The sequence below is a fragment of the Homo sapiens genome, chromosome 7, assembly GCF_000001405.40.
Source record: "Homo sapiens chromosome 7, GRCh38.p14 Primary Assembly".
Taxonomy (NCBI): Eukaryota; Metazoa; Chordata; class Mammalia; order Primates; family Hominidae; genus Homo; species Homo sapiens.
Genome location: NC_000007.14, coordinates 1,434,359 through 1,458,432, shown reverse-complemented (window position 1 = coordinate 1,458,432; position 24,074 = coordinate 1,434,359). Strand labels below are relative to the sequence as shown.

The following is a 24,074-nucleotide window of genomic DNA, read 5'->3' as shown; positions in this document are numbered from 1 at the left end:
TGTCGGGGCTGGGGGCCAGACGCTCAGGAAGGGGGGCCCTCAACGGCCACCTGCAGCCCAGGCACCTTCTGGGCAAAGCGTTCTCCTGAGTGTGTTTTTGGTGGGAAGGTCTCGGGGTTGGGAGGAGCCACAGGCAGCACCTGGGGCCTCTGTCAGGCCGCAGCTGTGCAGACCAGAGAACCGAGGCTAAGAGGAGGGGTCCTTGCTCAGGTCACACAGCCCCAGCCCGTTGCGCAGATCCGGGGCTCCTCCCCTGTGCCCCTGGACACTGTCCTGCCAGTCCCACTCTCTGCAGGAAGCTGGGGTCTTGAGCAACAGCCTCGGCCCCTGCTCTGAGGTTGTGACATGCATTCGTGGAGCCACCAGGGGCTTCCATTTGGCGTTTGGGCAGCAGCCGCTCTCCCTCGCCAGGAACGTGCCTCTGTTGCCCTTGCAGGCAGAAGATGCTGGGCACAAGGTGCGTGCTTCCACATGGAAAGCCTGACGCTGAGCTTTGAAGGAGAGGGCCAGGGACCTGGAGACTGGGAGAAGGACCCGGAATGGGGAGGAAGGCAGGCGAGACCCCACCCCCGGGGCTGCAGGGTCCTGGATGAGGCTGGCTGGTGGCTGAGCCCAGGCATCCAAGCTGGGGCCAGCCCGAAAAGCCTCTGGGGTGGGGAGAGGCGTTGCCACCGGCTGCTGGCCACCAGCTTCATGGATCACTGGTGTCGCCGGAGATTTGGGGCCCTCTGGTCCTGGGGAGCTTCTCTGTACTCCCTGCCGGCTCAGACGTGCCTGTGGGCAGTGCCCAGGGTGAGCACAGGTGCATGTGCATGCACTGGCACGGTGGTCGCTGTGTATCTCCTCAGTGCACTGACAGTTATTGAGTACCTGCTGTGTACCCAGCACTGAGTCCTGTGCCAGTTCCCCTCAGCCTCCAGATGCAGGGAGCAATGTTCCGGTCACAGAGACAGACAGGGAACAGGTAAATGAATAAAAGCCCAGGGTGGCTCCAGAGAGTGCAGAGGCCAGAACAGGAAGGAGGCGGGAGAGAGAGGAGGCCCTCTGCCCCCAGCTCCGGTGGGTGTGGAGTTACCCAAGCTGTGGCTGACTTGGTTCTGTCCCCACTGGACTGTCAGCTCCAGAGGGTGGGGGCTCTGTTTTGTTCACTGCTGCACCCCTGGTGCCTGGAACTGGGCTCGGTAGATACCAGCACATGGTTGGAGTTCTGCAGATAAGGGCCTTTCAGTTGGGGTTCAGTAGATATGGTAGGAGCTTAGTAGGTGCCCACGTGCAGAAGGACAGAGGAGAAGGCCATGTGCCCTTGGAGGCAGAGATCAGAGAGGTGCAGCCACAAGCCAAGGGTGTCCTGGGCTGGAAGAGGCAGGAAGGACCCTCCCCGAGAACCTCCTTAGGCAGCAAGGCCCAGCCCACACCTTGATGTCGGAGTCCGGCCTCCAGAGCCGTGAGAAAACAAATTCCTGGTGTTTTAAGCCCCAGAGTTTGTGGCAATTTGTTACGGCAGTAGGAAGAAGCTAGTACAGGCTTCCATGGGTGTTGGGGCGTGGGGGCCTCTGTAGACCCTGGCTGATGGAAAACCCGGAGTGTCATGGGGGTCGGGTGTGCACCAGGGTGTGGGGACATGCGCTTGTATGGGTGCCTGGGCCCTTTGCTTTTATTCCAGAGTTGGAGTCTCGCTCTGTCGCCCAGGCTGGAGTGCAGTGGCACCGTCTTAGCTCACTGCATTCTTGAACACCTGGACTCAAGCAATCCTCCCACCTCAACCTCCCGAGTAGCTGGGACCATGCCTGGCTAATTTTCTTATTTTTAATTTAATTTTATCTATTTATTTATTTATTTATTTATTTGAGACAGAGTCTAGCTCTGTCGCCCAGGCTGGAGTGCAGTGGTGCGATCTCAGCTCACTGCAACCTCCGCCTCCCAGGTTCAAGTGATCCTCCTGCCTCAGCCTCCCAAGTAGCTGGGGTTAAAGGGGTGCACCCCCACACCCAGCCGATTTTCATATTTTTTCTAGAGACGGGGTTTTGCCATGTTGGCCAGGCTGGTGTGTAACTCCTGACCTCAAGTGATCCATCTGCCCTCTTCAGCCTCCCAAAGTTCTGGGGTTATGGGCGCGAGCCACTGCGTCTGGCCTGTGTCTGGCTACTTTCACTCAGCATATTGTTTCTTTTTTAAATTGAGATGGGTTCTGGCTATATTGCCCAGGCTGGTCTTGAACTCCTGGCCTCAAGTAATCCTCCTGCCTCAGCCTCCCGAAGCGCTGGGATTACAGATGTGAGCCGCCGCGCCTGGCCCCTGGCTCTTTGGACGTGCCTGCCTCTGTGCCTTCATCACCCCCATCCCGTGCCCTCAGCCTCTGCTCCCTGCCGTACCTCTGGATGAGGTGGTGGCTGGGGTGGAGGTCTCCTCATGCAGCCCTTGGCTGTCCCTCCTGTCCCCAGTAGTCTTCAGGAAGGGAGGAAACGCGTGTGAGGGACAGGCACAGACCGGTTGTCCTCTCAGGGCAGCTCTGAGGTCAGACTCTGTGTGAGGCCCCGCCCTTGCCACCTCATTCCCCTCTCCTTCCAGTGAAGACCCCTTGACAGCAGAAGGGTGGACGTCCTGTCTCCCTGTCTGTAGCTCTGCCACCAGGAAGTCCTTCCCTTTGTCTGGCCTTAGTCCTTCCTGCTGCACGCAGAGAGCACTTCCGCTTGGCCCTCAGGGAGAGCAGCTGTGAAGGAACCAGCTCGGGCGCCAGGCCAGCCAGGTGGGGCACCCGGGCTCCTGGTTCTGCCTCTGCCCCACCGACCCCGGGTGGAGGGGGCGGGGATCCGGACATTCCTGTGTACCATGTTCCGGCTCCTTGAGCCACGTGTGACCACACTGGGGAGCCCCACAGGTACAGAGAGGTGTCCGTGAATCTCCGCTTTACGGCCAGGAAACAGGATCGCCCAGCCACGCCCACCAGGAGGTGGCAGGGTGGGCGGGTCCCCTGCCTGGTCAGCCTGCCTGTGCCCGCCTGCCCTGTCTCACCTGCGGCTGTGGGTTCTCTGCAGCCAGGCCTCAGGGCGCCTGCCCCCGGGCGCTGTTTCCATACTGGTGTCACAGGGCAGCTGGGCAGCCAGGTGAGCTCAGAAACCACCCAGAACAAACAGCCCCACCTCCCGCCTCACCTCCCTCAGCCAGTCAGCCTGTCGGGGCTGGAGCAGCTCTGCCATGGGCTGGCTCCTTTCATTCCTGGGCCCAAGCAGGTCTCCAGGCACAGCCCTCGGGCAGATGGGGCAGGGGGCACAGCGTGTCTGGGCTGGGAGGGAGCAGGGCTGGAGGGAGGGCAGGCGTTGTGCGTGGCGCAGGAAGCCGTCCAGCAGGTGGGAGAACATTGCGGCCTCCTTCTTGGGGTTCGTGGCTGGGGGCATTTGTCGGATTTGTGGCCAGGCCTTGGGAGGGTGTCGTGAAGTTGGGTCTCTGCTGCACCCTCAGTTCCAAGGCAGGGTCCCTTAAGTTTTCCTGGTCCCTGCAGCTCTGGAGGCGGGCTCAGGGCTGGGCCAGGAAGTGGGGGTGGCTGGGGCGGCCGCTGTGCAGTGCATGGAGCCCTCCAGCAGTGGCTCCCAAGGGTGGCGGGGCTCCCCGAGACACCACTATTGTTGGGGGCCAGGGGAGAGACTCACGCAGAGGCCCCCACCCAGAAGCTCCCAGGCAGTGCCCTCACTTCCTGGGCCAGGGCCGAGGGTGGGCTGACCTCCTCTCCCACGCGGGGTTGGGTCAGCAGGAAGCTGCTTGTGGACAGAGGCCTTCTGTTCCTGCCCCAGGGCCTGTAGCCAGACCTCTGTGGCCGCCTCTGGCCGGAACCCTCCAGGACGGGCGCGGGAGGGGGCTGCCTGTCCACCTACTGCAGGGGGACTGCCCAGGGCCCCACACTTTCCTTCCAGAGGCCCAGTGTGCAAGGTGGGGGCTCTGCGGCCTCCCCTCCCCAGTCGTCACCGCCCCCTGCCCACCCCCTCCTCTCCTGAGCTCTGCCTGGCCATGTCCTCGCTGTCTCTGAGGTTTGCTCCTTCCCCGAGTCCCCTCTCTGCCATCCCGACTGTGCCATCTGGTCCCTGTCTCTCTTGGGCCTCCCTCCACCATCTCCGCTGGGGTCTTCCTCTCTCTCTCCAGCTCTCTCTGTCCGTCCACCTGCCTCTCCCCACTCCCTCTGCTCCCTTCTCCGTGGGATTCTCTCCTGATGTGCTGGATGTGCCTCGGCTGGGGCTCCTTCCCTTCCAAGTCCTGCACCCCCCCGCCCTCCCCACTCCATGGCGGAATCTTGTTCCAGGAAGTAAACAGTGTGATGTCGGCCACCCAGGAATTTGGAGGGGGGTATACATTCCCAAGAGCCCCCAGAGGCGCCGGGGCAGAGGCCGGCTGGACTCCATGGGCTGAAGTTGATGGTCGTGGGTCAGTTAGAGGGGTGGTGGGGGCAGGTGTGGCCGGGCAGGGGCACGCACGGTGGAGAGTTGGCCAGGGCAAATCTTGTGACCGACACACAGACGGCAAATTCATTCCTTCAGCCAGTGTTGAAAGAATAAGTTACTGCCACAGAAATCTCACCAAGCACAGAACAAATGCATCACACGCATTTATAGGGCACCGACTGTGTGCCTGGCCCACGGTGTGTGTCTTGGAGCCGGGCCATGGTATACCTGATTTTAATTCTGAGGCTTCAAATAAGAGAAGATTAAACCCTGGAGGATGCCATGTCTCGGAGGTGGGCAACCTGCAGCCCCCATCCCACAGCCTGCAGGTTTGCAGCGGTGGCTGGGGCTGTGTCCCAGTTCCAGCCGTCTCACCATGGGTAGCTGGTCACTTGCTGAGTGGGGGGAAGCTGATGCATTTTTGTCCGGCAAGGACAGGGGTGTCCACCTGCTCAAGCTGCCCTTGCAAGGTCCCCCAAACGGGCGGTTTCAACAACGGAAAGTGTCCTCCCGCAGTTCTGCAGGCCAACGTCCCGGACGGAGGTGTGAGCAGGGCTGGGCCCTCCTGGGGGCAGGAGGGAGGATCTTCCCGGCCTCTCTCCTTGGCTCTGGGGTGGCCGTCTTCGCCCTGTGCCTTCACATCCTCTTCCCCTGTCAGTTTGTATCTGCATCCACATTTCCCTTTTATGAGGACACCAGCCATGGGACCAGGGCTCCCCGCAAAGAACCCTGTTTGAATTCTCTTATCTCCAAAGGAGGCAAAATGAATTCTCACCTCCAGAAAGACCCTGTCTCCAAATAAGGTCACGTGGTGGAATTGGAGGTTAGGGCTCCAATGTGTCATTTTCTTGGGGGGCTCCTGGAGACACGAGTGGGGTCTCCACCTGGCGATGTTGGTGGGGCTTGCGAGACGGTTCTGGCGGCGATTTCTGCCAGCATCGGGCCCCTGAGCTCAGCTGCTCAGGGGCCCCGGGGGTGTGAGCTCGGGGACAGCAAGGTGCATCTGGGGAGGGCCTGGCGGGTGCATCGGGCGGAGTGTGGGAAAAGCTGTTCTGTGCCGGGAGAGTGGAGCCATGGTCTGGAGGCTGGAGGGCCGGCCCTGGGGAAGGAGCTTGGGGCAGGATGGGTGGTGGCTGTGGGACCGGCCGGGGTGGTGCAGCCCAGTTGAATAGGCCTCAAACGCCCCGAATGCAGCTTGAACCTCATCCTGAGGCCGCGATGCTTGAACTCGCAGCCCAGACCTGTGCCGTGTGGGCACTGGCTCTGGTGTGTCCAGAGGGCCTGGGGTGCTCTGATCTGCCTGGAGCTCTGAGAGCCTGACTGTGGGTCTGGGGGTGAGATGGCCCTGCAGGGAAACCCACTGGACAGAGCCGCTGCTGGCCCCTGGGGTGGACGGAAACAAGTGCGGGAGGCAGACAGCCTCCTCCTCCTGCTTGTTTAGAGAAAAAACAGACTTGTGACACTGCCCTCCCGGCCGTCCGGGCATTCTTTCCGGGGACATGGCCGCTTTGGTCAGTGACCCTAGGGAAGGTCTGCAGAAGAGCTTGAGCTTTCAAAGGGCTGGGGGCGGGGAGAGAGGGAGGGAGAGCCGGCTCCTAAGCCCTGGGGGCTGAGGCTGACGCCCAGCATGGCTGCAGAGTCCCTGGGCATAGACAGCCACCCACGTGCCCTCGGGTCACACCCTCTCGGGGGACAAGCCCAGGCAGACAGAGGCATCGGCCCAGGCCCGAGCAGACGGAAACCGCTTTCGCTGCCACTGAGCCCAGGGAGGGGGCTCCTCGTCATCTGTCCACACGGAGAGGAGTCCGCGCCCCATCTTGTCCGGCGTGCAGAAGCTCCGCCTGTGCAGACGGGTGGTCCTGCCGTCTGAAACCTGTTACCTGGGAGGGGGTCCAAGCTGGAAACGGTGGAGGGTTCCCAAGGATCCCAGCAGATTGATGGACGGCAGGGCTGCAGGCGGACGGGGCGGGGGCTTCCTAAGGAGAGAGGTGGGCAGCCTGCAGCCCCCATCCCACTGCCCCCACCCCACCGTGTGGCTGCTGCCTGGCCTCAGTTTCCCCATCTGTGAAACAGGTGAAATGGGCTCACTGTCCGGGCCTCGGAGCATTCTTATGGGGGTCAGGGCCTGGCAAGGGCTGTGCAGGCTGGGCTCAGAACTAGGCCGCCCAGGCTGCGTGGCCACAGGGGTCTCGGCCCCCACTTCTCCGTTTGAGACCTGCCCAGCCTTCCTGTTTGCTGCAGCTACGGCCGTCAGATTCGCCACCAGGAGCTGCGGTTGTCCTCCCAGACAGGGAGACTGAGGCCCTGAGACCGAGGCTGGCCGGGGTCAGACATGCAGGCCGGGGTGAGGCAGGACACGGCTTGCAGCCCCAGCTCCCTCTGTGGGGCCAGGAAGCTTCTAGAACAGTCCAGTTCACGCTGACATGGCAGCAGCTGCTGTCCGGGACCCCACAGGCAGCAACGTGGACAGACGGGTCACGATCACTATATTTTTGTTTTTCTGAGACGGGGTCTCAGTGTGTTACCCAGGCTGATCTCGAATTCCTGGGCTCAAGCAATCCTTCTGCCTTGGCCTCCTGAGTAGCTGGGACTACAGGTGTGAGCCACTGCACCCGGCTTCCAGATCATGATTTAACCAACCCTCCCTCCCAGAAGCCGCAGCCCGTGCTGGGAGCCTGGTGGTTTTTGTCGGAGGGCCTGGGGCTGGGCTGGGGCCTCCTGGGATCTTGGTGTGTTTTCTGCCCAGGGTATCCTCCCAAGGTGCCCATCAGGAGTCCCAGGACCAGCTGGAGGTCACGTGGGGCTGTCCTCTTGGCGTCCCCAGAAGGGCCCTGCTGTCCAGGCTGGCCGGGGACCTCACCTCGGGAACTTCCCGGGACCCTTGCATCCCTGTGGTGTAGTGTGCGAGTCAGGGGTGAGGCTGGGCCCTCGCTGAGCACCTGGGAAGGCACTCCACCACCCAAAGAGAGAACCATGTAACCTCAGTGGGCTTGGCAGCTGTCTCCCCGCTGTGTGACCTGGGGCAGGTCCCCGAGCCGCTGTCTCTGTGAGATGCAGACATAACCGGTGTCTGCTCCACAGGTCGGGTGTGAGCCTTAGGTTGGTATTTGTGAAGCGCTGAGAAGGACACCCTTCACTGCAGGGTGAACAGAAGTCACCCTTCCAACAACAGAAGCGATGATGTGTGGGACGAGGTGGATCCGGGGCCTGTCCTGCCCTCGGGGGCAGCGTGGCTGGCCCTCTCTGCATATGGTGCCGTCCCCTGCCCTGGGAGCCTCTCTCCTCCGTTCCCTGTGGTCCTCTGGGGGCATCAGGCCTCTGCGACCCACCTGGTCACCAAGCGTTGTGATGGGAAGAGCCCCCTCCGAGCTGAGCTGTGCTGAACCGCCCTGGGCTGGTGACCTCACCTCCCAGGCCTGCTTCCTGCCACCTCTGACTGTGGCAGGAGCACTGGTGAGGGGCGGCCTGTCAGGGTACAGGAGGTGAAGCTGGGGCCGTCTGATGTCGTACTACGGTCCCAGCAGCATCACCGTGGCCGGAGCAGGGCCGGGAGCCCTGGCCTCTGCCCACCTGTGGTCCTGTGCCACCTCATTCCTTCACAGCCCCCCATCCTGGCCTCGGTTTCTCTGTTTGGGCAAGATGACCTCTGAGGCCCTCCAGCCCCTCCCTTCGTGGACTCTGAGCTGCTTTGGACATCATGTTTTTATCTTCCAGAAACTTCAGTGCTCTCAAGAAGGAAAATATTTATGAAAACAATAAACTGGTGAGTGGCCCCCGCCCCGGCCTCACAGCTGGCTTAGCCAGCCTGCTGAGCCCCACCCACGTCCGAGGGACCGAGGGACTCCCCCCAGGCCCTGCACCTGCCTTGGGAGTCCTGCCTGGGAATCGGGGGCTCCCTGACCAGCCCGGCAACGCGTCCTGGGCTGGGTGACCCTAGCGTTCTAGAAATAGCCTCTTATCTTGGCACCCAGGGCATACTGGTCCCCTCTTTTCCTGAGCTGGGGAGCAAGGTGCCAGGAGGTGGCTGGGGACCCTACTTCACTGCAAGGGGGCTCAGCCCAGTCTGCCTCAGGCAGAACAAGGGTCTGGGGGTGGCTGTGGGGGGCTGTGGATGGGTCCCAGTGGGCCTGCTGCCACTCCCACCACATGGGACCTGCCTTCCGGCCCTGCCAGGATTCCAGTCCTGCCCTGCTCACCCCAGCTTCCAGGCCCTTCCCTGTGTGCAGCCTCAGTTTGCCTGCTGCAGAATAAGCACCACGCTCCCTCGTGGGCAGAGGCACCGGCAGACTCACCACGCGCCCTGCAGGCATGTCCTGTGCTGTGCCAGGCAGGCCCCGGCCACGTCCCTGCCCCCGGAGCTGGCCTTCAGCGGGGACAGTGGTCAGCACTGAAGACAGTCATACCTGCCCGGCCGGCACTGCCCTGCTCAGCACGGGGACAATTTGAACTTAAGCTTTAACTTAATTAAAATGAACTAAAATTACAAGTTCATGGTGAAACCTCGTCTCTACTAAAAATACCAAAAATTAGTGGGGCGTGGTGGTGCGCACCTGTAATCCCAGCTATTCAGGAGGCTGAGGCAGGAGAATTGCTTGAATCCGGAAGGTGGAGGTTGCAGTGAGCTGACGCTGCGCTCCAGCCTGGACAACAGAGTGAGACTCTGTCTCCAAAAACATAATAATAAATAAAAATAAATAAATAAACAAGTCCAGTTCCTCAAGTGTGCCGGCCACACTTCCCATGCTCACAGCCATGCCTGGCCGGCGGCTGCTGGGCTGGACGGCGTGGGCTGTCGAGTCCCTGTCTCAGCCTCTAGCGGCCCTCACCTGTTGCCTGGGAGCCCTGACATGGCGACCTGTGTGTCCCTTCTGGCCCCCGGGGAGGGCTCAGCAATGTCAGCCCTGCCTCTGGAGGGAGCTGTTTCAAGACTGCGTAAGTCTGGGTTGGGTGGGGCCTGGGATTCTCCCGGTGAAGGGTAGGATCCCCTGAGGTTTCACCTGGACGGGGCCTTGAGCGCCCACCGGCCTGGTGACCTCAGTCCTGTGCAGATGGGACCGTGATCCCCGCTGCAATGATGGGTAAGCTGAGGCCGGGAGGCCACGCGAGCAGAACTCAGCTCCGGCCTCCAACCCACGCCTCTTTGGGCTCCAAGACTGTGTCTTTGAGTCGAGGTGAGCTGCGGCCTGGTGGAGAAGGAGGGGGCTCCCAGCTGCCCCGCTGACCCCCTCCCACCTTTCGCAGGCCTTCCGCGTGGCCGAGGAGCACTTGGGCATCCCAGCCTTGCTGGATGCCGAGGACATGGTGGCCTTGAAGGTGCCTGACCGGCTGAGCATCTTGACCTACGTGTCCCAGTATTACAACTACTTCCACGGCCGCTCCCCCAGTGAGTCCCTGCCGCGCCCGCCGAGCCAGGCAGGACCAGGCCCCCCATCCTTGGCCTGGCTCCCAGGCCTGTGGACTTTTTGGGGTCCATGCCCAGCCCCCCCCCCAAGAATGGCCCCTGGCATGGGCACCGGGGCTGTGCACTGGCTGTGAAGCAGCAAGAGGCCTTGGTGGGCGCCCCATCCCCAACCCCGGCCCCATGCAAAGCCCCAGGCTGTGTCTTCACCAAGAGGGACCGGGGCCCTCATCCTGCTGCAGGAGAGCTGCCCCCGCTGCTTCCCCAAGGTGCCAGGTGCACCAGCAGCTCCTGCCGCCCTGCCCCTCATGGGCCTCAGTTTGCCCATCTGGACCCCTGAGCTTCTGTGCCCACTGGGGTGGCTTGGCTGACCAGGGGCAGCTCCTGGGCCTACCTTCATCTGTCCTGATTTTGGACCCTATGGAAGCCAGGCTGGCCTGGCAGGGTGGGGCCCCCGGATAGAACTGGGCAGGGGAGGGACAGGCCCGGCCTTTGTGTGTGTAGAGCTCAGCTCCCCACCCCCCCACCCCCACATTCCTCTTCTAGGGTTTAGAAATCCCCAGAACCATTCCGGGCACAGGGCCTGCCCTGCCTGCTGGAGAAACAGAAAAGTCCCTTTTCCCTGACTCCAGCTGGGGCTCTGAGTGGGGAGGGAAGGAGTGGGGACCGACCCGGGGCTGTGCCAGAAAAAGTGCCCTCAGGGTTACCTCTCCCCAGCCCTGGGCCCCCAGGTCCCCCCCGGGCACCAAGGCCTGTGCTGGGCACTGGGACCTCTGGAGGGACTAGACCCTTTCAGAGCCAGGCCTGGGACCCTCCCGATCCCTGCTTGATTCCTCCAGTTGGGGGCATGGCAGGCGTGAAGAGGGCCTCGGAGGACTCTGAGGAGGAGCCGTCAGGGAAGAAGGCTCCAGTCCAGGCGGCCAAGCTGCCCTCGCCCGCCCCAGCCCGGAAGCCTCCACTATCTCCAGCCCAGACAAACCCTGTGGTCCAGAGGAGGAATGAGGGTGCAGGGGGCCCGCCCCCCAAGACTGTAAGCTCCCACCCCACCCTCCCCCTGGTTCTCTGGGTTTTCCACCGGGGGGTGCAGAAGGGGCTTGTGGGACTACGTGCGGCCCCTAAGCCACGGGACCCAGAGTGGGGTGCGGCTCCCCCAGTCCAGGGCTCAGCCTTAGCAAGAGCCGCCAGGACCGGGCTCTCCAGGGCTCCATCAAGCCAGGGGTTGTGATCCCACTTTGTACAGATGGGAGAGCACAAAGGTGGGACAGAGCTTGAACCTAGATGGGCCCAGGATACCTCTCTCCCGGGGAGAGAAGGGTTGCTGGGCTATGCCCTGTACCCAAGGCCGGCTCTGCAGAGTGAACCCAGGCACCCCCACTTCTCAGAAGCGGAGTTGGGGTGGAAGGCGGTGGGCAAATATCTGGTGGTTGGCAGCCCCTGCTATGCCTGGACTGCCACTCCAGGCTCCCGGGATGGTGGGAATTGGATGGGATCCATGCCCCTAATGGGGCAGGAGGAGGCCTGGAATCTGTCCCCTGGCCCCCAGCCACCGAAGGACCACTAGCATCGGGCCTCAGCTCTCTCCCCAGGGCTGGGCTAGAGGCCCTGGACTGGGGCTGCCACCCACCTGGGTGTGACCCCGACCGCAGCCCTGCTGGCGGCTCCTCTCCTGGCCAGTTCTCCATCTGTAAGATGGGCTCTTCCGGCCACCTGTGGGCTGCCACCAGGAGGGAGGGCTGGGTGGACGGCTGCTCAGAGAGGTGCTGGCATCTTCCCCAGGACCAGGCATTGGCGGGCAGCTTGGTCAGCAGCACCTGCGGGGTCTGCGGCAAGCACGTGCACCTGGTACAGCGGCACCTGGCCGACGGGAGGCTTTACCACCGGAGCTGCTTCAGGTGGGGCTGCCCTCTGCCCGCACGCCTGAGTGTGCACCTCCCCTCCCAGAACCCTCCCACAGCTCCCATCGCCTCCCACCCGGCCTCCTCCTCCCCGCTCCTCGTTCCTCTCCCCTCTCCCCTCTCCCCTCCTCCCCCCTCCCCCTCCCCGTCTCCCCTCCTCCCGCCTCCTCCCCTCTCCTCCCCTTCTCCCTCTTCTCCCTTTCACTTTCCTTCCCATCCTCCCTTCCTTCTCCTCTCTATCCTCCCCCTCCTCCCCCCTCCTCTCCCTCTTCACTCTTCTCTCCCTAATGGTCCGCCTCCTCCCCCTTTTTCCCCCTCCTCCCCCCTTCTCTTCCTCCTCCCCCCTCCTCTCCCTCCTCCCCCCTCCTCTCCCTCTTCACTCTTCTCTCCCTACTGCTCCGCCTCCTCCCCCTTTTTCCCCCTCCTCCCCCCTTCTCTCCCTCCTCCCCCCTCCTCTCCCTCCTCCCCCCTCCTCTCCCTCCTCCCCCCTCCTCTCCCTCCTCCCCCCTCCTCTCCCTCTTCACTCTTCTCTCCCTACTGCTCCGCCTCCTCACCCTCTTCCCCACCCCCCGCTCTGTTGCTGATAGCCCAAGATGTTCTACTGTTCCCAGACACCCAGGACCTGATGCCCCTCACTAAGCCCCAGTGTCCCCCAGTGCCCCCGTCCAGATGCCTCCTCCAGTGCCCCCGTCAAGATGCCCTCCCGACTGTCCTTCCACACACACTGCCTCAGTCTCCCTTCTGTGCCTCAGCCCTTCCCACTGGTGTTGTACTCAGTGGCCATCCCCAGCCCCTTGCTGCCACCCTGCACCCCGGGTGGGGGCTCCTAGGAAACAAGCGCTGTTCCCCCTACTTCTGTCCCCAGCTCTGCAAGGCTGGGGTGGGCCGGTCCTCCCAGTTCCATCCCCCACGCTGTGAGGCCAGGGTGGGTCAGCCCCGAGGTGGGGCCTGGGGTGGCCTGTGGGTGTGTGTCTGCTGACCTGCACAAGCACCCTCTGGGGTTTGCACCCCAAACGAGGTTTTTGGTGGGGTTTGTGATGTAAGTGGTTAAGGACCCTGAGAAGAGGCGTTTGTTGAATGAATCAGCGACCTCGTGAGTGGAACACAGGAGTCCGCAATGCCTGCTCTCAGGAGCACGTGGTGAATGCGTGGCGGGGCGGGCGTTCAGCAACCTCGCAAGTGGACACAGGAGTCCGCAATGCCTGCTATCAGGAGCACGTGGTGAATGCGTGGCGGGGTGGGCGGTGCCGAGCTGGGGCTCCTGTGCCTTTCCTCCCCCAGGTGTAAGCAGTGCTCCTGCACGCTGCACTCGGGGGCCTACAAGGCCACAGGAGAGCCGGGCACCTTCGTCTGCACCAGCCACCTCCCCGCAGCCGCCTCTGCAAGCCCCAAGTTGACGGGTCTGGTCCCCCGACAGCCAGGGGCCATGGGTGTGGATTCCAGGACCTCCTGTTCCCCACAGAAGGCCCAGGAGGCAAACAAGGCCAGACCGTCGGCCTGGGAGCCTGCTGCGGGCAACTCGCCTGCCAGGGCTTCCGTTCCAGCTGCACCCAACCCTGCAGCCACCAGCGCCACGTCCGTCCACGTGAGGAGCCCAGCCAGGCCCTCTGAGAGCCGCCTGGCCCCCACTCCCACGGAGGGGAAAGTCCGCCCTCGTGTGACCAATAGCTCCCCGATGGGCTGGTCGTCAGCTGCCCCGTGCACAGCAGCGGCTGCCTCCCATCCCGCCGTGCCCCCGAGTGCCCCAGACCCTCGCCCGGCCACACCCCAGGGTGGGGGAGCCCCCCGAGTGGCAGCTCCTCAAACCACACTCAGTTCAAGCTCCACATCTGCAGCCACGGTGGACCCCCCAGCCTGGACCCCGTCCGCCTCCAGGACCCAGCAGGCCCGGAATAAGTTTTTCCAAACATCAGCAGTGCCCCCCGGCACCAGCCTTTCTGGCAGAGGTCCCACCCCGTCACTTGTTCTATCCAAGGACAGCAGCAAGGAGCAGGCGCGGAACTTCCTCAAGCAGGCCCTCTCAGCGCTGGAAGAGGCTGGCGCTCCGGCGCCTGGCAGGTGAGCGCGTGGGGACCGAGGGACCCCGGGTATGGCCTCTTTGCACCAGCCAGCGGGGCCCCGGAGGCCAGAGGGGTTGGGGGCGCTGCACCTCCCTGGCTGTGTGGCCTTGGGGACTGCACTTCCCCCAGCCTGTTTCCTTCTCTGGGGAATGGGGAGGAGGAGCCAGGGTGGCAGTGCCTGTGGTCAGGGTGGTGGAAGCCGGGTCCTTATGGAAAAGCTGCTGTCCGCATGTGCTCGGGGCGTCATGGGTGCGGTGGCGCTGCCGCTCCGGGGCCCCCTGTGCTGCACTCCCTTGGAACCCAAGGGTCCTACGCCCATTTCATGGACGCGGGGACAGGTCGCGAGCGGGACCCACGCTGGCGGGTCTGAGTGGACGCGGGGACAGGCCGCGAGCGGGACCCACGCTGGCGGGTCTGAGTGGACGCGGGGACAGGTCGCGAGCGGGACCCACGCTGGCGGGTCTGAGTGGACGCGGGGACAGGTCGCGAGCGGGACCCACGCTGGCGGGTCTGAGTGGACGCGGGGACAGGTCGCGAGCGGGACCCACGCTGGCGGGTCTGAGTGGACGCGGGGACAGGTCGCGAGCGGGACCCACGCTGGCGGGTCTGAGTGGACGCGGGGACAGGTCGCGAGCGGGACCCACGCTGGCTGGGCTGAGCATCACCTTGTCTGACTGAGTCCAGCCAGGCCCTGACCTTCCATGCCTGGGCCCGGCGCCTGCCTGTGCCTGGACCCTGAGCAGATGACGTGGACGGGTAGAGGGGGGCGCTGCATCAGTTTCCAAAGACCCCCTCACTGGGCGGCTTACACAGTAGAAATCCACCCCCTCACAGCTCTGCAGGCCAGAAGTCTGACCTTGAGGCGGGGGAAGGGCCGCGTCCCCTTGCAGGGCACTAGGGGTGGACCTGTCCTTGTCTCTTCCAGCTCCCAGCGGCTCTGAGCGTTCTTGGCTTGTGGTCGCCTCCCTCCAGTCTCTGCCTCCGTTTCCATGTGGCCTTCTCTCTGTCTGTCTTCTCCTCTTCTGTCTCTTCTAAGGACATGGTTGTTGGACTAGGGTCCACCCTAACCCAGCGTGAGTGCATCTTAACATGATCATAACTGCCAAGATGGTTTACAGATAAGGTCACACTCTGAGCTTCCCAGTGGACATGACTTTTAGGGGTCACCATTCGACCAAGTACAGTCACTTAGCGAGTAAGAATGCTTGTCGCAGCCTGGCTGACAACGCCGTTTCCTGCCCCGTATCGTGGGGTGCAGGCGTCCCCTGCTCAGAACTGCCTCCTGCCCCCGCAGTGGTCAGCAGGGGGTGCTCAGAGCCTCCGGGGTGGTCACAGACAGGAGAAGAGCGAGTTCGCTCTGCTCCTCCTGGCACTGGGGGGTGTCCAGGGCATCCTAGGGACTGAGGATGAGTGGCGGGGGTGCTCCAGGGAGTGCTTCCTAGGTGGTGGGGCGGGGGGCATGTGTGGCTGGGGAGGACCCCAGCTCCTCTGGGGAAGCTGGCCTGGCACACCTGAGCCCAGTGTAAAGGGAAAGGGGGGAGGGAAACTGGTTGTCGAGGGGGGTGGGGACATGGAGGCACTGGCTCGGGGGTGGGGAGGCACCTGGTGCCCCCACCTCAGGCTCTGGCAGCCTCACTCCTGGTGTGTGCCTGAGGGAAGGCAGGAAGGCACGGAGGCCTTGTGTCTGGCCCTGTGTCTGTGTGTCTGGCGGGGCCAGAGAGACTGTGTCACATGGGACTGAACCTGGCAGCCCAGGCCGGCCCAGCCTCTGACAAAGCCCCAGGTGCCTCCAGCCTGGGTGGGTGGTGTGTTTAGGGGGTGGATATTTTAATCTCAGCCAACACTGGATTTCACAGGGGAGGAGAATCAACCACAGCATATGCTCATGCCAGAAACAGGTGTCTGTGGCCTGTGCCTTGCCAGGGTGGTCATTGGGAGCGAGCTGCAGGGAGGCAGAGGGGCAGCCTGGTGCAATGGTGGGGGAGGCGGAGGGGTGGCCTGGCGCAATGGTGGGGGAGGTGGAGGGTGGCCTGGGGTGATGGTGGGAGTCCGTCCGGAGGCTGGGCATTGGGAGTGAGCTGCAGGGAGGCAGAGGGGCGGCCTCGGGTGATGGTGGGAGGGCGCCTGGATCCAGCTGTGCCTGATGCCTGCGCTTTTACTTATAGGCCCTCCCCAGCCACTGCCGCTGTTCCCAGTTCTCAGCCCAAAACTGAAGCACCACAAGCAAGTCCCTTAGCCAAGCCGTTACAGTCCTCGTCTCCCCGGGTGCTTGGCCTCCCTTCGAGGATGGAACCGCCAGCCCCGCTGAGCACGAGCAGTACCTCTCAGGCATCCGCGTTGCCCCCGGCAGGCAGGAGGAACTTGGCGGAATCCTCAGGGGTCGGCAGGGTGGGTGCTGGCTCCAGGCCGAAGCCAGAGGCCCCGATGGCAAAGGGTAAAAGCACCACCTTAACGCAGGGTGAGTAAGGGGCTGGGAGGCAGGAGGCCCCGGGGGCCCGCAGCTCTGGGACTCTCCCCTGGCCGCACTCTGCAGTGTGTGCGGTTTCATCATCAGCCCCGCCCGCCTTCCTCTCCGTCTCATCTCTGTCCTCCGTGACACCTGCTCGCAGCCTCCTGGGGTCCTGGTGCGCTCTCTGTGTGGTGGCTGCAAATGTCCTCAGGGCTATGCTGTTTGCCGGCACCCAGCCCACCCCATCCGCACGTCCTGCAGGTGCCTGCAGCCCAGCCCTGCAGCGTCCCGCTCAGCTCGGTCTGGCAGTTACATCCTGTGGCTAGCAGTGGCCTGGCTTGGCCGTGGTCTGTGGGGCCTCCTGTTCTCCCGTGGTGTTTTGCGCTTCCTGCCTGTCGCTTTGACAACGTCGCGCTGTTGCTGTGGCACCCTGTGTCACCACATACCGGAGATGGTGCCCTATGCCCCGTCCCCCCTGTGGTGTCCCGGTGACGGTGCCCTATGCCCCGTCCCCTCCGCTGGTGTCCCAGTATGCCCTGTCCCCCTGGTGGTGTCCAGGTGAGAGCGCCCTGTGCTCCGTCCCCCCCGGTGGTGGTCTGGTGACGATGCCCTATGACCTGAGGGCTCTGGTGCCTCCTAGGCTGGGAGCTCTTCCTGGGGGCTCCCTGGACCACACAGTCCTGTTTTATGGCCTCACGTGTTTTCGGGAACAGGGAGCGAGCTTTCTTCTAGGCAACTGGCTGTCACCCACCAGGGGTTAGCCCCCTGGGTGATCATGGCCAGGCTGGGCAGGACGTGGGCTTAGGGCTTGTGAGGCCAACCCTGTGCCAGCTGGGAGGCCCAGGGCACTGGGATGGCCAGGCTACGCAGTGAGCTGTCAGCTGTGCCAGGACAGACCCCAGGCTCCTGGCGGCCCTGCTTTGATGCACGGCTCTGTCTCCCAACCTGGGGGCAGCCGAGTCCCCCCGCCTCGCCCCACTGCAGGAAACTGGCTGTCCCTGCCACCTGGGTGTGTGTAGAAAAAAGCTAGAGGTTCCCATGGCTTTATCGAGCTGGGCTCAGGGAACAAGCTGGGCTGCAAAGGGTTTTTCCAGATCCTTCTCTTTGGCTGAGTTCTCATTGTTAAAGCCACGCGCTGGATCCTGCAGGACCCAGGAGCCAAGAAAGCCTGCAGACGGGCAGCCGTGGCTCAGGTGTTCCCCTTGCACAGGTGGACAGAGGATCAGGGTCCACGGGGCTCACCCTGCCACGTCCCCACCCATTCGGCAGAAGGGGAAGTTGAGGCCCAGAGGCAGGGAGAGCTTCCCCCAGGGACACACAGCACAGGAGAGCCAGCTGGGAGCCCCTCCCCTGACTCCCTGCCCGGTGCTCCTGATGCCCCCCGGCCGGCTGGCTGTGGGGGTGTCTGAGGGTGGAGTGGCTATGGGAAGATGGCAGGGGGAGGCACAGCCACCCTTGCAGACACCCCATTCCCAGCACTCCTTCCTCACACCCAGACCCCTTGCCTCCCACCCAGACATGAGCACCAGCCTCCAGGAAGGCCAGGAGGACGGGCCGGCAGGATGGAGAGCGAATCTGAAGCCCGTGGACAGGAGAAGCCCAGCTGAGAGGTTAGGGATGGGTGGGGCTGGCCCAGGGCCTGGTACACCATAGGTGCTTAATAAATGCAGTGAGTATGTAATCGACCGATTGACACGCCTATCCAGGGATAGACGCACCTCCCTGTGAGTAGCAGAGGCCAGGTCACCCCTGCCTGAGGGACATGGGGGCCGCTGTCCCTGGTTTGGGGGCAGCGTTGCGTGTCTCACCTGGGCATGGCAGCACCCGTGTGGGTTCACGCACCATGCCTGCAGCTGGGGTGGAGTCTCCCCATGTGTGGGTCCCGTGGGGCCCGGAGCTCACGCCTGGAATCTGCTTCGCACCACGGCAGGTAGCGATGGACACGTGTGTTTGCAGGAGGGTCCCAGCAGGTGTAGTCAGTGGGCTGGGAGGTGGCATTTGCTCAGAAGGCCACCTGCTCCCTCCGGCTGGTCTGCATATGGCCTGGGAGCCCCTCCAGGTGGGCCAGGCCCTGGGGCTGGTGGTTCGGGTTCCGACCTCATGCCTTCTGCCCAGGACTCTGAAGCCCAAGGAACCACGGGCCCTGGCAGAGCCGAGGGCGGGGGAGGCCCCCAGGAAGGTCTCAGGCAGCTTTGCTGGGAGTGTCCACATCACCCTGACCCCCGTGAGGCCTGACAGGACCCCACGCCCAGCCAGCCCAGGACCCAGCCTCCCAGGTACTCCTGGACGGGACCCAGGGGCCCCCGGGTTGCCTAGCTGGCCCTCCCCCTTGGGTGGGGGCCCCGGGACTGGACCTGTAGTGCCACCTCCTGGGGTGTGCGGAGAGGCGCTCCGGTCAGCCAGAGAAGCTGGTAGTCCTGGGCAGGCTTGTGTGTACATGTGTGCATGTGTGTGATGCATGTGTGCATGTGTTCATGTATGTGATGCCTGTATCCATGCGTGATGCATGTGTGCGCATGTGTACATCTGTGTTCATGTGTGTGATGCATGTGCACGTGATGCATGTCCATGTGTCTGTTCATGTATGTGATGTGTGATGCATGTGTATTCATGTGTACATCAGTGTTCATGCGTGTGATGCATGTGTACATGTGTGATGCGTGTCCATGTGTCTGTGTTCGTGTATGTGATGCATGTGTGCCCACACGTGATGCATGTGTCCATGTGTACATCTGTGTTCATGTGCGATGCATGTGTGTCCATGTGTACATCTGTGTGATGCATGTGTGTGCAACCGTGTTCATGTATGTGGTGCATGTACCCATGTGTGGATCTGTTTCATGAATGTGATGCATGTGTGTCCACGTGTGCACCCGTGTTCGTGTGTGATGCGTGTGTGTGCACACACATCTCTGTGTGTATTCCTAGCACTCATAGCTGCCCTGGATCCATATCCAGCTCTCGTGCCACTTCCTGTGTGACCTTGAGCAGCCAGCAGCCCCGTGGGTTAGCCCCCTGGGGAGACATGGCCAGGTTGGGCAGGACGTGGGTGTAGGGCTTGTGATGCCAACCCTGTGCCAGTCGGGAGGCCCAGGGCATGGGGATGGCCGGGCTACCCAGCGAGCTGTTGGCTGTGCTGGGACAGACCCCAGGCTCCCAGTGGCCCTGCTCTGAAGCGTGGCTCTGTCTCCCCACCTGGGGGCAGCCAGGTCCCCCTCCCCACCCCGCCGCAGGAGACTGGCCGTCCCTGCCAGCCTCGACGTTTGTGACAACTGGCTTCGGCCGGAGCCCCCTGGCCAGGAAGCCCGAGTGCAGAGCTGGAAGGAGGAGGAGAAGAAACCTCACCTTCAGGGCAAACCAGGTCAGCCCCAGAGACACCGCTGCTGTTTGGGGTGTACGTGAAGGGAGCCTTCCTCTGAGGAGGCAATGCCTGCTGGGGCTTTGGAGGATGCATTCACAGGACCTAGAATGGAGGGAAAGCCTGGAGGAAGGACCCAGCCCCGTGCCCCAGGCCCGCCCTCATGAATAGAGACCCTAGCTGTTTCAGAGTACCTTGTTACAGACTCATGGTGATGATGGAATGTCTGCTTCTGGCAGCTTGAGGGACTGGGGTGGCTGGGGTGTTGCTGACCTGGAGGAGGGCAGGGTGCAGGGTGGGGCTGGGCCTGGAGGCCACTCAGGTGTCTGTGGGGCTGGGTCAGGGCAGTCCAGTGGGCGTGTGGGGCATTAGGGAGGCAGGGCTGGGGCCAGCTGTGCTGTGCTGAGGTCAGGCTCCTTCCAAGCTGTGTCCTGGTCACGTTGGGCCTGGTGGCCCAGGTCCCAGAGGCTCACCCTGCTCCTTCTCCAGGGAGACCCTTGTCCCCGGCCAATGTCCCTGCTCTGCCTGGCGAGACGGTGACCTCCCCAGTCAGGGTGAGTAGTGGTGGGGAGCCGGGCAGGGGCCCAGCCCTCCGGCATCCTCACCGCCCCTCCGTTCCCAGCTGCACCCCGACTACCTCTCCCCGGAGGAGATACAGAGGCAGCTGCAGGACATCGAGAGGCGGCTGGACGCCCTGGAGCTCCGCGGCGTGGAGCTGGAGAAGCGACTGCGGGCGGCCGAGGGAGGTGAGCGCCTCGGCCTGGCCCTGGGCCAGCCCGACTCCCACAGACACCCTCAGTCCTGGGGCTGGGGGCCATGAACTCTGGCGGGCCCCCCTGCCCCAGCTGGCTCCTCTCCCCAGATGACGCTGAGGATAGCCTCATGGTGGACTGGTTCTGGCTCATTCACGAGAAGCAGCTTCTGCTGAGACAGGAGTCAGAGCTGATGTACAAGTGAGAGCCCAGCCGTGGGCCCCTCCTCGAAGGCCAGGACCTCGTTGCGGGCTGGGCAGGCCAGGCGGGGGACAGGAGCGCAGAGTCAGGCCTCAGATGCATGTCTGTGCGGCAGGTCCAGGACCTCGTTGCGGTCTGGGTGGGCCAGGCGGGGGACGGGCGGCGAGTCAGGCCTCAGACTCGTGTCTGTGTGGCAGGTCCAGGACCTCGTTGCGGGCTGGGCGGGCCAGGCGGGGGACAGGGCGGCAGAGTCAGGCCTCAGACGCGTGTCTGTGCGGCAGGTCCAAGGCCCAGCGTCTGGAGGAGCAGCAGCTGGACATCGAGGGCGAGCTGCGCCGGCTCATGGCCAAGCCCGGTGCGTCCCCCGCGCGCCAGCCAAGGGGCCCCAGCCAGGGATGCCGCGGAGCCCAGGATGTCTGGGGGCCGGCTCTGTGAGGCCACCTGACTGTCCTGGTGGTGAGACCTTCCCTGGAGCCAGGCGAGCCCACGTTTGAGTTTCAAATCTCCCACCTCCTGGCTGTGTGTCCTCAGCCAAGGTACTTAACCTTGCTGTGCTTGGGTTTCATCCTCTGCAAAGTGAGGATGCTTGTAGCACCCACCTCACGCAGCTGTTGTGAGGATTAAACGAATCAATTCGCACAAGGCATTTAGTGTAGCAGCAGTCAGGGCGAGCCATAGGCATTTGTCTCGTGATGCAGGGTGCCCTGGCTGAGGGCACAGGCCCAGGCCGTCTGCCTCTGCCCTTTCCTTGCTGTGCTGCAGGGACAGCGACGCCCTGAGCCTCAGTGTCCATATCTCTGCAGCGAGTGGTGTTTCTGCGAGATGATGGGGAAGGATCCCAGCACACGGGCTCTGACGTGGCCGTTCCTTCCTTCATTCACTTATTCACTCATTCATTCTGCTCCGGATCCCCCCAAGACCCCACCTTCTTCCTCCAAAAGAGGAGCCTGGCGCTTGGGTGGTGGGGACATTGTGTCCTGTGAGGGGCATGGCAGTGGTGGGGGGGGCTCCTGCTGACGAGCCATCCCCACAGAGGCTCTGAAGTCACTGCAGGAGCGGCGGCGGGAGCAGGAGCTGCTGGAGCAGTACGTGAGCACCGTGAACGACCGCAGTGACATCGTGGACTCGCTGGACGAGGACCGGCTCCGGTGAGGGGCAGGTGCCGGGGGCCCCTCCCAGCCAGGCCAGGTCGCCTGGTCCATGCTCCCGGCCCTCAGGGTCAGCCAGCCCCGTAGAACTTTCTGACCAGGCGGTTATTGTCTATGCTGACTGGTACAGTAGCCAGGGGCCACATGTGGCCATCGGGGACTTTTTGAAGTCTTTTTTTTTTTTTTTTTTGAGACAGAGTCTTGCTCTGTCACCAGGCTGGAGTGCAGTGGTGCGATCTTGGCTCACTGCAACCTGTCCCTTCCAGGTTCAAATGATTCTCTTGCCTCAGCTTCTCGAGTAGCTGGGATTACAGGCGCACACTACCACACCCGGCTAATTTTTTGTTTTTGTTTTTTTTGAGACGAAGTTTCCCTCCTGTTGCCCAGGCTGGAGTGTAGTGGTGCGATCTTGGCTCACTGCAACCTCCGTCTGCCGAGTTCAAGCGATTCTCCTGCCTCAGCCTCCTGAGTAGCAAGCTCGCACCACCATGCCCGGCTAATTTTTTGTATTTTTGGTAGAGACGGGGTTTCACCATGTTGGCTAGGCTGGTCTTGAACTCCTGACCTCAGGTGATCTGCCCTCCTTGGCCTCCCAAAGTGCTGGAATTACAGGCATGAGCCACCGTAACTGGCCGTAAAGTCTTAGTTTTTTTTGTTTGTTTTGTTTTGTTGTTTGTATTTTTTTTTTTGAGACAGAGTCTTGCTCTGTCGCCCAGGCTGGAGTGCAGTGGCCGCAATCTCGGCTCACTGCAAGCTCTGCCTCCAGGGTTCATGCCATTCTCCTGCCTCAGCTTCCCAAGTAGCTGGGACTACAGGCGCCCGCCACCACACCCGGCTAATTTTTTTAGATTTTTAGTAGAGACGGGGTTTCCCCATGTTAGCCAGGATGGTCTCGATCTGACCTCGTGATCCGCCCGCCTCAGCCTCCCAAAGTGCTGGGATTACAGGTGTGAGCCACCGTGCCCGGCCAAAGTCTTAGTTTTTAACTTGAACTTCCAAGGCCACGTGCGTCTCCTGGCTCCTGCACGGACTGTGTGACTGTCCCCGACAGCTTTCCTGTCTCGTCTCATGAGGGGTCCAGCACATGGCATTCTGGGTCGGCACCTGAAGTCCACCTCTATGAGACCCTCTGGGAGCGTGACGGGGCCTTGGCATGGGTCGGCCGAGGCCCTTCTGTCCCAGGTCACTGGTGTGGTCGGCCCAGGCCCTCCTGTCCCACATCACCTGTGTGGTCGGCCCAGGCCCTCCTGTCCCAGGTCACCGGTGTGGTCGGCCCAGGCCCTCCTGTCCAGGTCCTCCTGTCCAGGTCACTGGTGTGGTCGGCCCAGGCCCTTCTGTCCCAGGTCACCTGTGTGGTCGGCCCAGGGCCCTCCTGTACCATGTCACTGTTGAGGGGCTGGCTCTGGAAGAGGGCAGGGACTTGGCATTGGTGGGGGCAGGGTTCCAAGGTGTGGCCTGTCAGCAGGAAGGGGCAGGTGGCATGGGTCCAGGCGGGACTCAGGGCTGGGGTGCCACTGCTGGAGACTGTCCGGAGGCCCCTCCAGGGCACCTTGCCATTGCCATTGTCGCTCATGGCCATCTGGTCCCGTTTCAGGGAACAAGAGGAGGATCAGATGCTGCGGGACATGATTGAGAAGCTGGGTGACTGGGCCGGGGATGCTGAGGGCTGGGCTGGCTGGCTGGGTGGGCCGGGGATGCTGAGTGCTGGGCTGGCTGGCTGGGTGGACCGGGCCTCCAGCTGGGGGTGGGGGGGGGGCGGGTATCGGGTCCCCCCCTCAGCCTTGGTGACAGGACAGGCAGGTTCACCCTGAGGGTGAGAGCTCCCTCCCGCCCCTAAGAGAGCCAGGGGCAGCTGGTGACCGTGTGGTCATGGTGGGGACCAGCCCTCCGGGGCACCCAGTCGGGGCAGGTTCTCACGTGGGAGGGCACAGGGCTTCCTGCAGGCTCGGAGGCCCAGGGCGGATTGTGGCCAGTGGAAGGGAAGGATGTTTCTGGCAGGGGGACTTGTGTGGGCCACGGCTGTGCGGCTGCGGCGTTGAGCACGGCCTCACTGTCCACCTGTCCCCTAGGCCTCCAGAGGAAGAAGTCCAAGTTCCGCTTGTCCAAGATCTGGTCACCAAAAAGCAAAAGCAGCCCCTCCCAGTAGTAGCCAGTAGGGCCGTGGGCTCGGCCCGGACCTGGCATCCGGACTTGGACTCGGGGCCATGGGCTTGGCCCGGACCCGGAACCCGGACTTGTACTCGGGGCCGTGGGCTCGGCCCGGACCCGGCATTCGGACTTGGACTCGGGAAGGGCCTCCTGTCCCTACAAGGGGCATGTGGACAGCAGGGACCTGCGCTACCGTCTGTGGTCTCAATAAAGAAACCGACCACATGGCCCCGGA

At 63.0% G+C, this 24,074-nt stretch overlaps 1 protein-coding gene across 5 annotated transcripts in view, besides 5 other annotated features; it reads left to right on the top strand.

The window, feature by feature from the left end:
• Window positions 1-286: part of an enhancer, noted in NCBI's record as "H3K4me1 hESC enhancer chr7:1497783-1498505 (GRCh37/hg19 assembly coordinates)", that runs on past the window's edge. NCBI's record gives its function as "activates a minimal SCP1, AML or CMV promoter by ChIP-STARR-seq in primed H9 embryonic stem cells {active_cell/tissue: H9 hESC(primed)}" and the evidence as "EXISTENCE:reporter gene assay evidence [ECO:0000049][PMID:30033119]".
• The window catches only part of MICALL2 (MICAL like 2), a 25,112-nt gene extending 1,038 nt beyond the window's left edge, over window positions 1-24,074 (top strand). The window contains exons 2-17 of one of the 5 annotated variants that reach the window (NM_182924.4): window positions 8,145-8,193; window positions 9,672-9,813; window positions 10,668-10,858; window positions 11,605-11,720; window positions 13,005-13,781; window positions 15,949-16,241; window positions 17,749-17,842; window positions 18,348-18,508; window positions 19,438-19,593; window positions 20,080-20,144; window positions 20,213-20,336; window positions 20,453-20,543; window positions 20,825-20,898; window positions 21,577-21,691; window positions 23,286-23,332; window positions 23,761-24,074. In NM_182924.4, the coding sequence (NP_891554.1) occupies window positions 8,145-8,193; window positions 9,672-9,813; window positions 10,668-10,858; window positions 11,605-11,720; window positions 13,005-13,781; window positions 15,949-16,241; window positions 17,749-17,842; window positions 18,348-18,508; window positions 19,438-19,593; window positions 20,080-20,144; window positions 20,213-20,336; window positions 20,453-20,543; window positions 20,825-20,898; window positions 21,577-21,691; window positions 23,286-23,332; window positions 23,761-23,837 (2,572 nt within the window). In that variant the 3' untranslated portion in view covers window positions 23,838-24,074. Of the gene's footprint in view, window positions 1-3,005; window positions 3,105-8,032; window positions 8,194-9,671; window positions 9,814-10,667; window positions 10,859-11,604; window positions 11,721-13,004; window positions 13,782-13,841; window positions 14,857-15,948; window positions 17,843-18,347; window positions 18,509-19,437; window positions 20,145-20,212; window positions 20,337-20,452; window positions 20,544-20,824; window positions 20,899-21,576; window positions 21,692-23,285; window positions 23,333-23,760 lie in introns of those variants that run through there. The other 4 variants (XM_047420837.1, XM_047420836.1, XM_047420838.1 and 1 more) reach the window with 4 other exon arrangements.
• Window positions 287-1,009: an enhancer, noted in NCBI's record as "H3K4me1 hESC enhancer chr7:1497060-1497782 (GRCh37/hg19 assembly coordinates)". NCBI's record gives its function as "activates a minimal SCP1, AML or CMV promoter by ChIP-STARR-seq in naive H9 embryonic stem cells {active_cell/tissue: H9 hESC(naive)}" and the evidence as "EXISTENCE:reporter gene assay evidence [ECO:0000049][PMID:30033119]".
• Window positions 3,626-3,920: a silencer, noted in NCBI's record as "tiled region #3173; K562 Repressive non-DNase unmatched - State 14:Gen5'". NCBI's record gives its function as "represses a minimal TATA promoter and a strong SV40 promoter by Sharpr-MPRA in K562 cells {active_cell/tissue: K562}" and the evidence as "EXISTENCE:reporter gene assay evidence [ECO:0000049][PMID:27701403]".
• Window positions 6,069-6,620: an enhancer, noted in NCBI's record as "H3K4me1 hESC enhancer chr7:1491449-1492000 (GRCh37/hg19 assembly coordinates)". NCBI's record gives its function as "activates a minimal SCP1, AML or CMV promoter by ChIP-STARR-seq in primed H9 embryonic stem cells {active_cell/tissue: H9 hESC(primed)}" and the evidence as "EXISTENCE:reporter gene assay evidence [ECO:0000049][PMID:30033119]".
• Window positions 11,076-11,580: an enhancer, noted in NCBI's record as "H3K27ac-H3K4me1 hESC enhancer chr7:1486489-1486993 (GRCh37/hg19 assembly coordinates)". NCBI's record gives its function as "activates a minimal SCP1, AML or CMV promoter by ChIP-STARR-seq in primed H9 embryonic stem cells {active_cell/tissue: H9 hESC(primed)}" and the evidence as "EXISTENCE:reporter gene assay evidence [ECO:0000049][PMID:30033119]".